General features: G+C 40.1%; 1 protein-coding gene across 7 annotated transcripts in view; it reads right to left on the reverse strand.

Moving 5' to 3' along the window:
• Positions 1–534: 534 nt before the first annotated feature.
• PAK5 (p21 (RAC1) activated kinase 5) overlaps positions 535–12,238 on the reverse strand; it is a 301,707-nt gene continuing 290,003 nt past the window's right edge. For all 7 annotated transcript variants that reach the window (NM_177990.4, NM_020341.5, XM_017027960.2 and 4 more), the window contains 3 exons: positions 7,534–7,659; positions 5,751–5,885; positions 535–2,782 (listed from right to left, as the gene is read on the reverse strand). In NM_177990.4, coding sequence (NP_817127.1) covers positions 2,627–2,782; positions 5,751–5,885; positions 7,534–7,659 — 417 coding nt within the window. In that variant the 3' untranslated portion in view covers positions 535–2,626. The remainder of the gene's footprint in view (positions 2,783–5,750; positions 5,886–7,533; positions 7,660–12,238) is intronic.

Here is a 12,238-nt window from a genome sequence, read left to right on the forward strand (position 1 = left end):
GTGGGAGTTGAACAATGAGAACACATGGACATAGGGAAGGGAACGTCACACACTGGGGCCTGTGAGGGTGTGGGTGGTTAGGGGAGAGATAACATTAGGAGAAATATCTAATGTAGGTGATGGGTTGATGGGTGCAGCAAACTACCACGAGAGGTGTACACCTATGTAACAAAACTGCATGTTCTGCACATGTAACCCAGAACTTAAGGTATAATAATTAATTAATTAATTAATTTTTAAAAAAGCCCTCAGATCAGTTTTGCATCTTTGGAACAGGGAAGTAGAATGAGAGTCTTCAGCCCTGAACCTGGCTTTCCTTGAACGTGGCCTTCCAGAATTTAGTAATTTTTTTTTCAGTAGTGGTATCGACATCACCATCTTACACTCTTTACAATCCCTAGGGATGGATATATTTGTCTTTACGTCATGTCATCACAATGTTACATACAACTTTGTACCAACTCATTTGCACTCCCCAAGATCACAAAGAAATCATTCTTGGTTACTCAATAAAATAAATTTGAGAAATCACTGTTTCCAATAACACAATGGGGAAAAGGCAAACATTTATTTTTATTTGCAAATGCAGTTTCTGCCAATAGTTAGTGCTCACAAAACCTTTTAAGCTACAGTAACTTTTGGTAAACTCAATGAATACTTTAAAAAATACCCGATGGTAAGAAAATTACAGAAAAATTTCCATTACACTGTCGAAAATGTTTGGAATCCAAAATCCACTATTTTCTGCAATAGTTTTTAATGTTTATTCTGGTTTAAAAAAGATTTTCTTTTTCTTTTCTTTCTACTTCTACATAGTCCTGGTTAAATTAATACAATCTGTCTCATGAACATTTAGGACTGCCATTTTCTGGATTTAGATTGTTTTTATTCTCACATATTTATATTAATGCTTTAATATTTTACATAAAACATTGATTTGCTGTTTTATGAAGCAAAATCATAGATCATATTTATGGAGGCATTTCCAGTTTGAAAGAAAACTGAAAATCTAATCAGTAGAAGGTCATTTTATGCCTTTTTTCCTTTTTAGCAGTGATAAATAATTAGCAACCTATTAATTACAAAAATTCTTAATTATGCTTAGAGCAACCAGAGCGCTATCACAAATTTAAATTCATATTTGTTACAGTATGTGAAATAGTTAAGAAAAGCCTCTGTTTTCCCAGTTTGGTAACAAATGGCTTTTGTCTGATGCATAATTAATAGAAACTAATGATGACTATGTAGCTCTTCCAGAGTTTTAAAGGCAAATCTATATTGGCCTACAGTTAACATGCAAATTCATCCAACAAGCAACACAAAATGTATTGTAGTAGTCATTCATTTTTATCAACATTCAAGAAGATCTAGACAGCAGCACGACTCTCCTATGTCGGAAACACATTATAACATGGGCACAACTGAAGTCAGATCATACCTGGTAAAATACCCTCTTGCTAATTCATCCTCTAGAGTCAGTTCAGACTTCCAGCACGATACATGAACAATAGCGATTAATACTGTGGTACAAAGGTAAATATAGACAAGAGTTTGGTGTGCTAGCATACAGAGTTTTAAAAATGGTGACAAATGAAACCAAACGTCTTGCCCTGTTCTCTCCTCTCCCTTTGTGAGCCTGGAATTCTCATGGTCTCACTGAAACATTCTATTTTGGGAACTGAATCCAATGATCCTAGCACTGAAATTGCTCCCTGGGAGGGAAATTTGGCCACAAGGGAACATTGTACCCATTTGAGAAAGGGCACTGAGGGAAACATTGTGGTGTGCAAAAGAATGGTTTGCTACTAGAGGCGTTCATGGAAAATGTGATCTTTAAAAATATTTAACTTTATCCCAAGGAGTGGTATACTGTGGCTCAAATTTTATTTCATTATTTTTGGTTGGATTAATGAAACGTGCACACCATCACCATCACTCTTAATTCTTCTTCCACCAAATAAGACACTTGTTAGGATAAGAAAGAGATTTTACTAAAGCTGACGGTGATTGAGAGTCATTCAGTATTCAAAGTTCCTAAAGAATCATTGGTTCTCTTAAAGGGATAAAAAAGTAGGAAAGGCTTTGTTCAAACTCCTCTAGTAAACAAGTATTACTTCAACTGATACAATGGCTACATGACATCAAAGTACTATAAATTATCAAAACTATCGTACAGAAAAATTACAAATTCGTTGCAAAATACATTATACTGCTACCATTAAGAAAAAAGTGCTTTTTGTTTTCCTTTCTTTCTTTTTTTTTTTTTTTTGCCAGAAAAGTATTCTTTCAATATAGAAAATCCTACATGTTACCCTGCATGTGGCTAGGATATATCATAACGGAGTTTGTACTGAGTCCTTCTGATTTGCTGGATGAAGGGCTGAAAAATATAATAATGACTTATTAAAGCCGTGCTCCAAGTGACCACACCGGCTGTCAGTGGAGAGATGCCTGTTTAAGACACAAGAAGATGCCCTGGTCTGTTGAACCCTGCCGGTCATCACGCTGTCCCACCAATTGGCTGGTCTAGAATGCACAGGCCTTTTGCATGTTCTGTGTTTCCTTTTGTTCTCCTGAATTATTCTCATGTCCTCATCTAGCTTTGCCACCTACACGAATCCTCTGCTCAGTGATGCCTGTATTGTCTCATGAGGGGGACGATGCAAGACGGTGGACCTGCTAGTTTTAAGAATGGATGTCCGAGGAGTTCCTGGGCTGTTGCTCTCTGAGAGGGCTCCCTCACCAACATCAAGTCTAGGAATCCCCGGAGCACTGAAGAAACCTGTGAAAACACACAGATACCAATCTGAGGACTAACACAGACACCTAACCCAGTCCCCAAAATGTTTTCCCCATTCATCCTATCAACAACTTCAAATTCCAGAAAGTTACCTTAAGGAGAAAGATGTTGTGAAAGCAAAAGCATGTCTTGTCTTTGTTAACATTTCGTGTTTTCCTTACCTTTTTCAAGTGTGAAATAATAGGTGTAAATGACAGCTCAACTAAGAATGAAAACTTATTTACTACATAAAATAACAGTGGCAATCACAGTGATAAGAGCAGCTATTACAAAATATTTAGTATGTGCAGGTGCTGGTCACACGTGCTTGATGAAGCATAGTATAAACAGGGAGCCGTTTTATTTTTCTAACAACTGCAACCACACAGGCTCTGTGGAACCCCTTTCTTTAAGAGAAACAAGCTTCTGTAAGGATATCGAACACATCTCATTTTTTTCTTTGAAGGTCTTGTAATTTTCCTTTTAAAGGTATATCTTACTTTATGTATATATTTAGAGATGAGGTCTCACTATGTTGCCCAGGCTCAAACTCCTGTGCTCAAATGATCCTCCCACCTCAGCCTCCTGAGTAGCTGGGAGTACAAGCATGTGCCAGCATGCCCAGGTTCCGCTGCACAAATACTAAGAGTGTGGCTCAATGGATTTTTACATACATTTACCCCTATTTACTTTCCACTCCTATCAAGATATAGAACTTTTCTACCACTCTAGGAAGCTACTTTTAGGTTTCCTTCCTGCCAACCCCTATCTCCCTGCAAAAGGTCACCACTATTTTAATTTATAGCATAACTTAGTTTTGCTTACTTTTGTACTTTACCAAAATGGAGTCATATATTTGATTTCTTCTCTATCTGGCTTCTTTCACTCAGTGTTGTATCTGTGAGATTCATCTCCGACGTGTGGCAAAAGTTATATCTTTTAAATTACTGTGTAGTATTCACTGTCCAATTATACCACACATTATCCATTTGGGAAACAACCTCGGACTGGTTTCCAGTTTTTTTGAAACCATTAGGATTAAAGTTGTTCTTGTACATGGTTTTGAAGAACATTGGCACTCACTGGGTGTGAGACTACTTTCATATGATACATTTTTAGTCACTTTTTTTTTTTTTTTTGGAGACGTAGTCTCGCTGTGTCACCTAGGCTGGAGTGCAGTGGTGCGATCTGGGCTCACTGCAAGCTCTGCCTCCCAGGTTCACGCCATTCTCCTGCCTCAGCCTCCTGAGTAGCTGGGACTACAGGCACCCGCCACCATGCTTGGCTAATTTTTTGTATTTTTAGTGGAGATGGGGTTTCACCGTGTTAGCCAGGATGGTCTCCATCTCCTGACCTCGTGATCCGCCCACCTCGGCCTTCCAGAGTGCTGGGATTACAGGCGTGAGCCACCACACCCAGCCACTTTTCATTATTTAGACTTAGTCCAATCCAGTAAAAATTTCAATCTCTCTTTTTTTGTTTATGTTTTTGTAGGTCCACACAACCTATATGAGTGATGCTACTGGGGCTGTTCCCTAAGATTTAGGGGTGAGGAAGGAGGAGATATTACCATTACAAATAATTCTCCTCCAAAAGGCAGCCACACACTCTCTTTTATTGTCATAAGATAGGAAGAGAGGTGTGTATGGGGCCAGTGTTTATAGTAGTAGTCCTGCAGAAATGATCCTCTGAGCAAGTCCTTTGGAAATCTGGCAGCTCCTACAGTGGTGATTCTTGGATGAAGCATCATTATTTTCTGAGCTCGTCCTAATTGGCAATCCTTGGAAAACAGAAAAGACCCCACTCGGTCTCTTACATGCATTATATTAACCATGACCTTCATTGCCCTGTACAATCTAGCTCCTGCCCATCTCTCTGACAAGACCTACCTTTTTCCCCTTTCTGACTTTACTCCAGCAATGTAAGCCTTCTTTCTTGGCTTAAGGCCTTTCCACTTGATGCTCCCCGTGCCTGGGACCTTTTTCTCCAAGATCTTTGCATGGCTGGTACCTTCTTCCTATTCAGGTCCCAGCTCGTTTGATCCCTCCCTAGAAAGGGCTTCCTTCACTCTTCAGCTTAAATCAGTGATAGGGTTTGGCTCTCTGTGCCCACTCAAATCTCACCTCATATTGTAATCCTCACATGTCAAGGGAGGGACTTGGTGGAAGGTAATTGGGTCATGGGGGCAGTTTACCCCATGTTATTCTCAAGATAGTGAGGGAATTATCATGAGAGCTGATAGTTTTATAAGTGTCTGGCATTTCCCCTGTGCGCTCTCTCTCTCCTGCCACCATGTAAGACATGCCTTGCTTCCCCTTCGCCTTCTGCCATGATTGTAAGTATCCTGAGGCCTCTCCAGGCATGTGGAACTGTGAGTTAATTAAACCTTCTTTATTTGTAAATTACTCAGTCTTGGGTATTTCTTTATAGTAGTGTAAAAACAGACTCATACAACCAGCTTTCAATCCCTTCTCCTGCACACTCTGTCACATCACAGTATGTTTTTCTTTCATAGTATGTACCACACTCTGAAATTATTTTATTTATTTGTTTGTTTATGGTTTACTATCTGTTTCCCCAACTAGAATGCAGAGTCTAGACCCCAGAGTCAGAAAAGCTGGGGTCATGCACGGTGACATCCCAAGCTATTAGATGTCCCCAGCATGTAATAGATGCTGAATGAATGAGTATGGCATAGAGCACCTGATTTACTCTTCTAACCAACCCTTTGGGATACAGGCCAATCATAACCCATTTTACAGATGAAGAACTTTGGCATAGGAAAGGCTGAGTCACTTGCCCAGTAAACGAATAGAAGAACAGAGATTCAAACCTAAGTGACTATTTCCAAAGTCCATGCTCATAAACCAGGATCTTCCTGCTGGATGTGGTAAGCCAGTCTTAAAAACCAGAGAGATACAGGAAAATCCAAAAACTATTCTGAACTTTAGCAACAGCTGCTGTTTCTCACCTTGTGTAGGTCCTTCACTCTTGGAGGTAAACTGTCCCGGATCCTCCGCATCGCCTGGAGGGGAGGCTCATTGAAGTAGGGGGGCTCGCCATCAATCATTTCTATCACCATGATCCCGAGGGACCAGATGTCCACCTGTTAGGCACACCCTACTGGTTATCTCAGGCAAGGAGAACATTCTGAAATGTCAAGTGTGTCCACAGAACCTCATACTCATTCACAAGTGACTATGGCACTTGTAACCTCTCAACATTTACAATATAGATTTATAGGCTAAACTGCTGGGTTACCGAGTTTTTGCTAACAGTCTTTGCCTTTTATGGACAACTTCAGTGAAGGTTCCACCCATCAGACATAAATGAATATTTTAACATTCTAAAGTTTAGTGCTTTCATTTTTACTCTGTAAACTTTAGTAGTTAACTGTCTATCAGGGCAGATGAGAAAATCATCCGGTTTAATGCTATGAAAATGGAGAAGAAAATTGTATTTAAACCATAAGCAAATAAGAAAGTTTTGACATATTTGTAACAAACTGCAAAGGGCTACCTTGCAGGATGCAGAATATATTCTGATTCTTTTATTAATTTGCTTTTAAAAATAGCTCTTTTCTCCCCTACTTTGGGATTTCCTTCCACTACCTTTTATTATCATTTCAAAACAGCATGCACAAAACCTCACTTTACAAAAGCATTTTCAGGGATTGGAGAAAAGAAAAGGAAGAGATGACAAGCAAGTAGTAAAGAATGGGAAGTCGAGACAATGAGGAGCCATCACTGTGCTATAAACTCCCAGTCCCACTCACTTTCCTGTTAGGAAAGTTTCCTGTTAGGGCCTCATTATACCTCTTATCTGATGAACGTATTGCTATTATTACCCCTTGCAGTGACCTTCACCGAGAATTTCTCTCTCAGGACCACAGTGAGAAAAACAAGTTGAGGACTCATCCAAGGTCAAGCAAACAAGAGAAAGAGAAAGATTCTGCCTTAACTTATGCTGATGTCCTTAGCTCACGGCCATGTCTTCTCATGCTTCTCTTCTCCCAGATTCACCATCCACACCATAAAGTGTGGAAACACTATGCCTAGCCGAAACATACCCCTTGGCTTCCATCTGTATGTAGCCTTATGTGCCTCTAAGCTTCCACCCATGCTATTACCTCCCAAGAAGGCCCTTCCTCTACTCCTCTGGCCCTGCATTTTCACATTTCCAGGCCCTACCTCTTAAAAGATTAAGAGTGATTGTTTTCATTCCAGTGGAAACAGAAATTGTGCCATGTTTTTGACTATGATTCACATATTATTTTTTTCCTATGAGAAAACAGTGTAGGTCCTTCACTGTGAGATGTAAACTGTGTTGAAAACAGTGGGTCATTTAAATATCACCTCTATTTTGTGGCACTTTCTTTGATCCTCTTTCCTTTCTCTGAATTCTCATGCCTGCTCATCTGCATGTCTCCAGCCACTTTGCAAGTTGCATTGCCTTGCTTTGTGTGTGTGCCTGCTACTGAGAGTGGGATCAGAGTTGGAGTGACTTTCCCACAGTGTCCACTGTAGGACTGCAATAAACAGCCCTTGGATAAATACTGCAGTGATCTGCCCCAGGGGTGGCCAGGCTCCCACCTGCCACAGCCTATCTACTCTGTGCCTCATCTAGTGAGTGGGGATCAAATGTGGAGCTAAAAGTCATTGCCCCCATCTCCTGTGGTCACCAACTATCTCAGAACCAATGGGTCCCTGAGCCTGTCCCCAGTCCTGCCACGCCTATGACTGTGACCCCCTTACCTCTGTCCCATAAGGTAGCCTAGAAATCACCTCAGGGGCCATCCAGTAGGGAGTGCCAACCAATGATTTCCTCTTCGGCACCTCTTTGGAAACTTGAGCACAGAAACCAAAATCAGACAACTTTATCTGAAAAGGAAAGGAATGCAACAAACTAGCAATTTTAAAACAATGTCTGCTAGACACGAAAATACAAACATACAGAGTTTCAAATTTAAAACAAAACAGTCTCATCAACAGGCCTTGGACATATCAGAGGAGGGACTGTCAGACCCTTTTATTGGAAAGGCATGGTCCATTTTAATGGAGAAACTTCTCCCGGGCCCACCAGGATCAACTTCCAAATGTCTCAACTCCTGCTGCTTATATTACTTCTATAAAATGATGGAACAACAACAAAAAATCTTTACAAATTAAATACACCACAAACAACAAATTTGTTACATCCCAAGCCTACAAGTTTAATATAATGTAACAGGTGATGCTTTCATATACATAAGTTGCTATTCTTAATATGAATTTTGAACAAACTGATGTAATTTAGATTCTTTTGAGTTGAGCACATTTAGATTTCTATGTACCATGAGGTGAATCAAAGAACCATCTCTTTTCTATATTTGAAATATTGCAAGGCCTTTGCTTATCCAGGATGTGGAAATGTCACTTTTAGTACTGGATACCCTTCCCTTTTTGGTTTGCTCCTTTGTCCATGACAGTTGAATCTACCAACATGAACATCAATGCAAGTGGAAACACAGGCATAGAACCTGGGTGTTGGCACTTGGTTGTCAGGGGTTTAAGGTGGTCATCCTAAGGGCTCAGTGTATATACATGTTATTTACCTTAGATATCATCAAGGAGGAAAAAAACTTGGAAATTTCTTTCCTAGAGCTCATGTACTCTTAAGAACATACTGCACCCTGGGTGTTAGGCACCCTGCTGGTTTATGAATTCTAGATGACCGGGATTCAGTTTATTTCTGGAAGCCATAATTTCTAGTCATGATGACCTGGTCTGAACTTCAAACAGCCTTATGAAAGTGACATCAAAGAGCCACTTAGAGTTGTTGGTGATAATAGAACACAAAAGAAAACAATGGTTCAGAATGACCACTTGAAGTGAAAAAATTTTTAAAGGTAAATAGTACAGTCTCCAGGGTATGAATTCTCTCTTAATTCTCTTCACACCTCTCTGAACTTCCTCTTCCAACCTTTTTTTTCTGGCTCTACCTCTGCCGCCTGCCTCTTAAATATTGGGGTTCCCTAGGGTTCTGGTTTCCTCTCTCACATCTTCTCTTCTTAGATTCTCTTACTGGATACTGTTTTTCTTTCTATGCTTAGTTCAGACCTTGCTCCTCCATTCAAAGCCTGTATTTCCAACTAGTGTATATTTCTAAATGGATGACCACAAGTACTTCCAAACTCAGCATCCCTCTCTCTGCTCCAAAAGCTGACCCCTTTCCTATCAGTCCTGTTCTAGTGAATGACACCAACATCAATCCAAGAAAATCATCCTTGACTCTTGTCTCTATCTCACCCCAAGTCTTCCTGGTTAGAGTTAAAAAAAAAAACTATCTCTGTGGCTTCAACACCCACAATAGTGCTTGGCCCATGATAGGTTTTCAAAATCAAAATTGTTGCATAAATTGATGAACCTCAATCATAAGAAGTGAAAGAGTCCTTGGAGAATGAAGAACAAGTGCATTAATATATTATAAAGATCAGGATTCAGCAGGGAGGTCTGACCCAGAGACAAGATTCCCCCTGCCACACATGTTATTATGGTAATTTCCAAACATATAGCAAAGCTGAAAGAATTATAGAGTGAACATCCCTATCTGCATGAGTAGATTCTATAATTATTAATGTTTTGCTGTGTGGGCTTTATCACACACCTATCTCTCTATCCATCCATCTATTCATCTAATTTTTGATGCATTTCAAACTGAATTACTGACAGCAGTACACCTCACTCCTAATTTAGCATTAACTGGAGTTCAATGTGTTTTTTTAACAGTTTAAAAATTTACACAGTGTGAAATGTACACACTTTAGGTTTATCATGTGATGAGTTTTGACCTCCCAGTACTATCAAGATCTGGGTATTGCCATCGCTAGGGTAGGATGAGAAGGTCCTTGGGATATGAGTGGTAGTGAAACCCTTGAAGGGCCATAGCATGAGAAAAGAAGATGGTCAAATATGAAATACTGGGCACCTAGGGTGATCGAAATTGAGGCATTACAGGAGACCGAAGAGAAAGACATCAAGAAATCAGAGAAACAACGGAGAATAAATTGGGAAAGCCAAGGTAGGGATAGCAGCAGCTAGGACACAACAGGGAGATGAAACCAGGTAAGAACCGGGAGTTGCTGTTGTGCTCAGCAATGAGGGCATCCCTAGTAGCCTCTAGTTTCAGGTTGAGTCAGTGGTGGAATACAGAGAGCAGTCAGGTAGATTTCAGTCAGAGTGCTTTTCAAGAAATGAGATGTATTTTAATATAGATAGAAGAAATCCAGCATTTACAAACGTGGTGAATATGATAATGATGACAATGATAATTATTACTATTCTCTACAGTGGGTTGAATATCTCCCAGAATTCACATCCATCCAAAGTGCAGAATGTGATCTTATTTGGAAGAGTCTTTGCAGGTCTAATTAGTGAAGGTGAGGTCATATTGGATTGGGGACAGGCCCTAAATTGCATGACTGATATAAAAATAGGAGAGGACACACAGACACATAGATAAGAAGACCATGTGAAGGCAAAGCAGAGACTGGAGGGATGAGTTTACAAGCCAAGCAACACTGAGGATTGCCACAACCACCAGAAACCAGGAGAAACGTATATAAAACTTCTCCCTCAGAGCTTCCAGAAGGAATCAACACTACCAAAATCTTGATTTTGGACCTCTGGACTCTTGAATCATGAGAATACATTTCATGCAGAGAGAAGAAAATGCCACTCAATTGGTAGCAATTTGTTATAGCAGTCCTAGGAAATGAATACACTCACTGAGCTCTTACTACCTGCCAGGTAACACTTTAAACACTTTACATGTATCTCATTTGACAGCTCCCAAGAAACTAACGAGGTAGGAAATATTATTATCTCCATTTTACAGAGAAGTAAGCCAAAACACAGAAGTGGTTAGGCCACTTTGCCAAGGATACAGAGCTAGTAACTGGAAGAGCCAGGATTCGGGAATTTAACCACCACTCTGCTGCTCTGAAGAGCAAAGTTACAGGCTGAAAGAAGGGAGTTCCCAGAGTGGTAGATGTTGAAGAAAGAGGAGAGAGTGAGGATAACTGATGACAGGGTTTTTAAAGCATCCCTTCAGGAGGGATGGGATGGGATCCAAGGTCTTGTTACTTAAAGCATCATCTTCATCAATAGCAGCAGCAGCAGTGTCACCTGGGAGCTTGTTAGATTTTCAGAACCTCAAGCCCCACCCCAGACCTACTAAAGTCAGTTTCCACTTTAACAAGAGCCACAGGCTGTTGGTATACACATTATAGCTTGAATCATAGATCACAGTTCAGTCAAGAAACAGAAGAGGGAGGAGGTCACATGAACAGGTGGGGATAAGGGGGCATTTGTTTGCACAGAGTCTAATCTCTTTAGCATACTGACAAAAGCCTTAACATTTTCACCACACCCCATCTTCCTACTGCTGGCGCAAACACACGAGTCCACCTGAATGGTTTTTAAAGCCCTCTGTAATCTGGTGCCTTTTCGTGTCGCCAATTTTATTCCTCATGGCTTTCTGCACACACTAAAACCATTCCTAGGGACCAGGGCTGTTCCTAGAATGTAGAATATCCAGGGCTAAAACCCAGAAAGTTCTGGGCAAATCAGAAAGAGGTGGTTATCTTATGGTCCATTCCCAACTCTGAGTTTTTTTGATGATTTTTCTTGCATATTCAACTCTTAGGTATACATCAAGGGCTTTATCAAATCTAACATCCTCCAGAATTCTCAGGAGCCCACGTTGATCACTCTCTTTTTTTTTTTAATTTATTATTATTATACTTTAAGTTTTAGGGTACATGTGCACAATGTGCAGGTTAGTTACATATGTATACATGTGCCATGCTGGTGCGCTGCACCCTCTTTTCCAAATTCAGAGAATTTGGCATGCACTCAATCCTGAACTGTTTTCTGGTGCTGATTTTCCATCTCTAGCTAGAGATGACATTCCTTGGGGACAACAACTCTGCTTTCTGATTGCAGAGCCTTACTGTGTTCCTTAAGAGTTGGGCAAACAAACAGCAGAAACTCAGAAAACAAATGCTACTAGATTTATTTTATACTGACACACATACATAATAGTATACCAGGTGACAGAAGACACATTGAAGCTCTTTCTGAAAACATCTGAAGCACACTGAAGATAGCTGTTGCTAGAATCAAAATTGGAACACAGATGAAATGAAAATAACATTTTGGAAATTATTAATGTGATTTTTTTTCATTTCCTTGTTCATGATATTCTCACTAATTGGCTTAAGGCCAGTGATTTGGACCAGTGGTGGTACGATTTGAATTGGAAGGGATTAGATTATTCCCAAAGAAATGCTAGAGAAGCTGGTTTAGCAGAGAGGTGATATTCACAATTTCTTATCAAGAATCAACCCCAGAGGACTCAGATCATAGAATTTCACATGTAGTATGAAAAAAAGGGCCTTGTAGTTGTGATACGTGGTCC

Source organism: Homo sapiens, chromosome 20, assembly GCF_000001405.40.
Source record: "Homo sapiens chromosome 20, GRCh38.p14 Primary Assembly".
In the NCBI taxonomy this organism is placed as follows: Eukaryota; Metazoa; Chordata; class Mammalia; order Primates; family Hominidae; genus Homo; species Homo sapiens.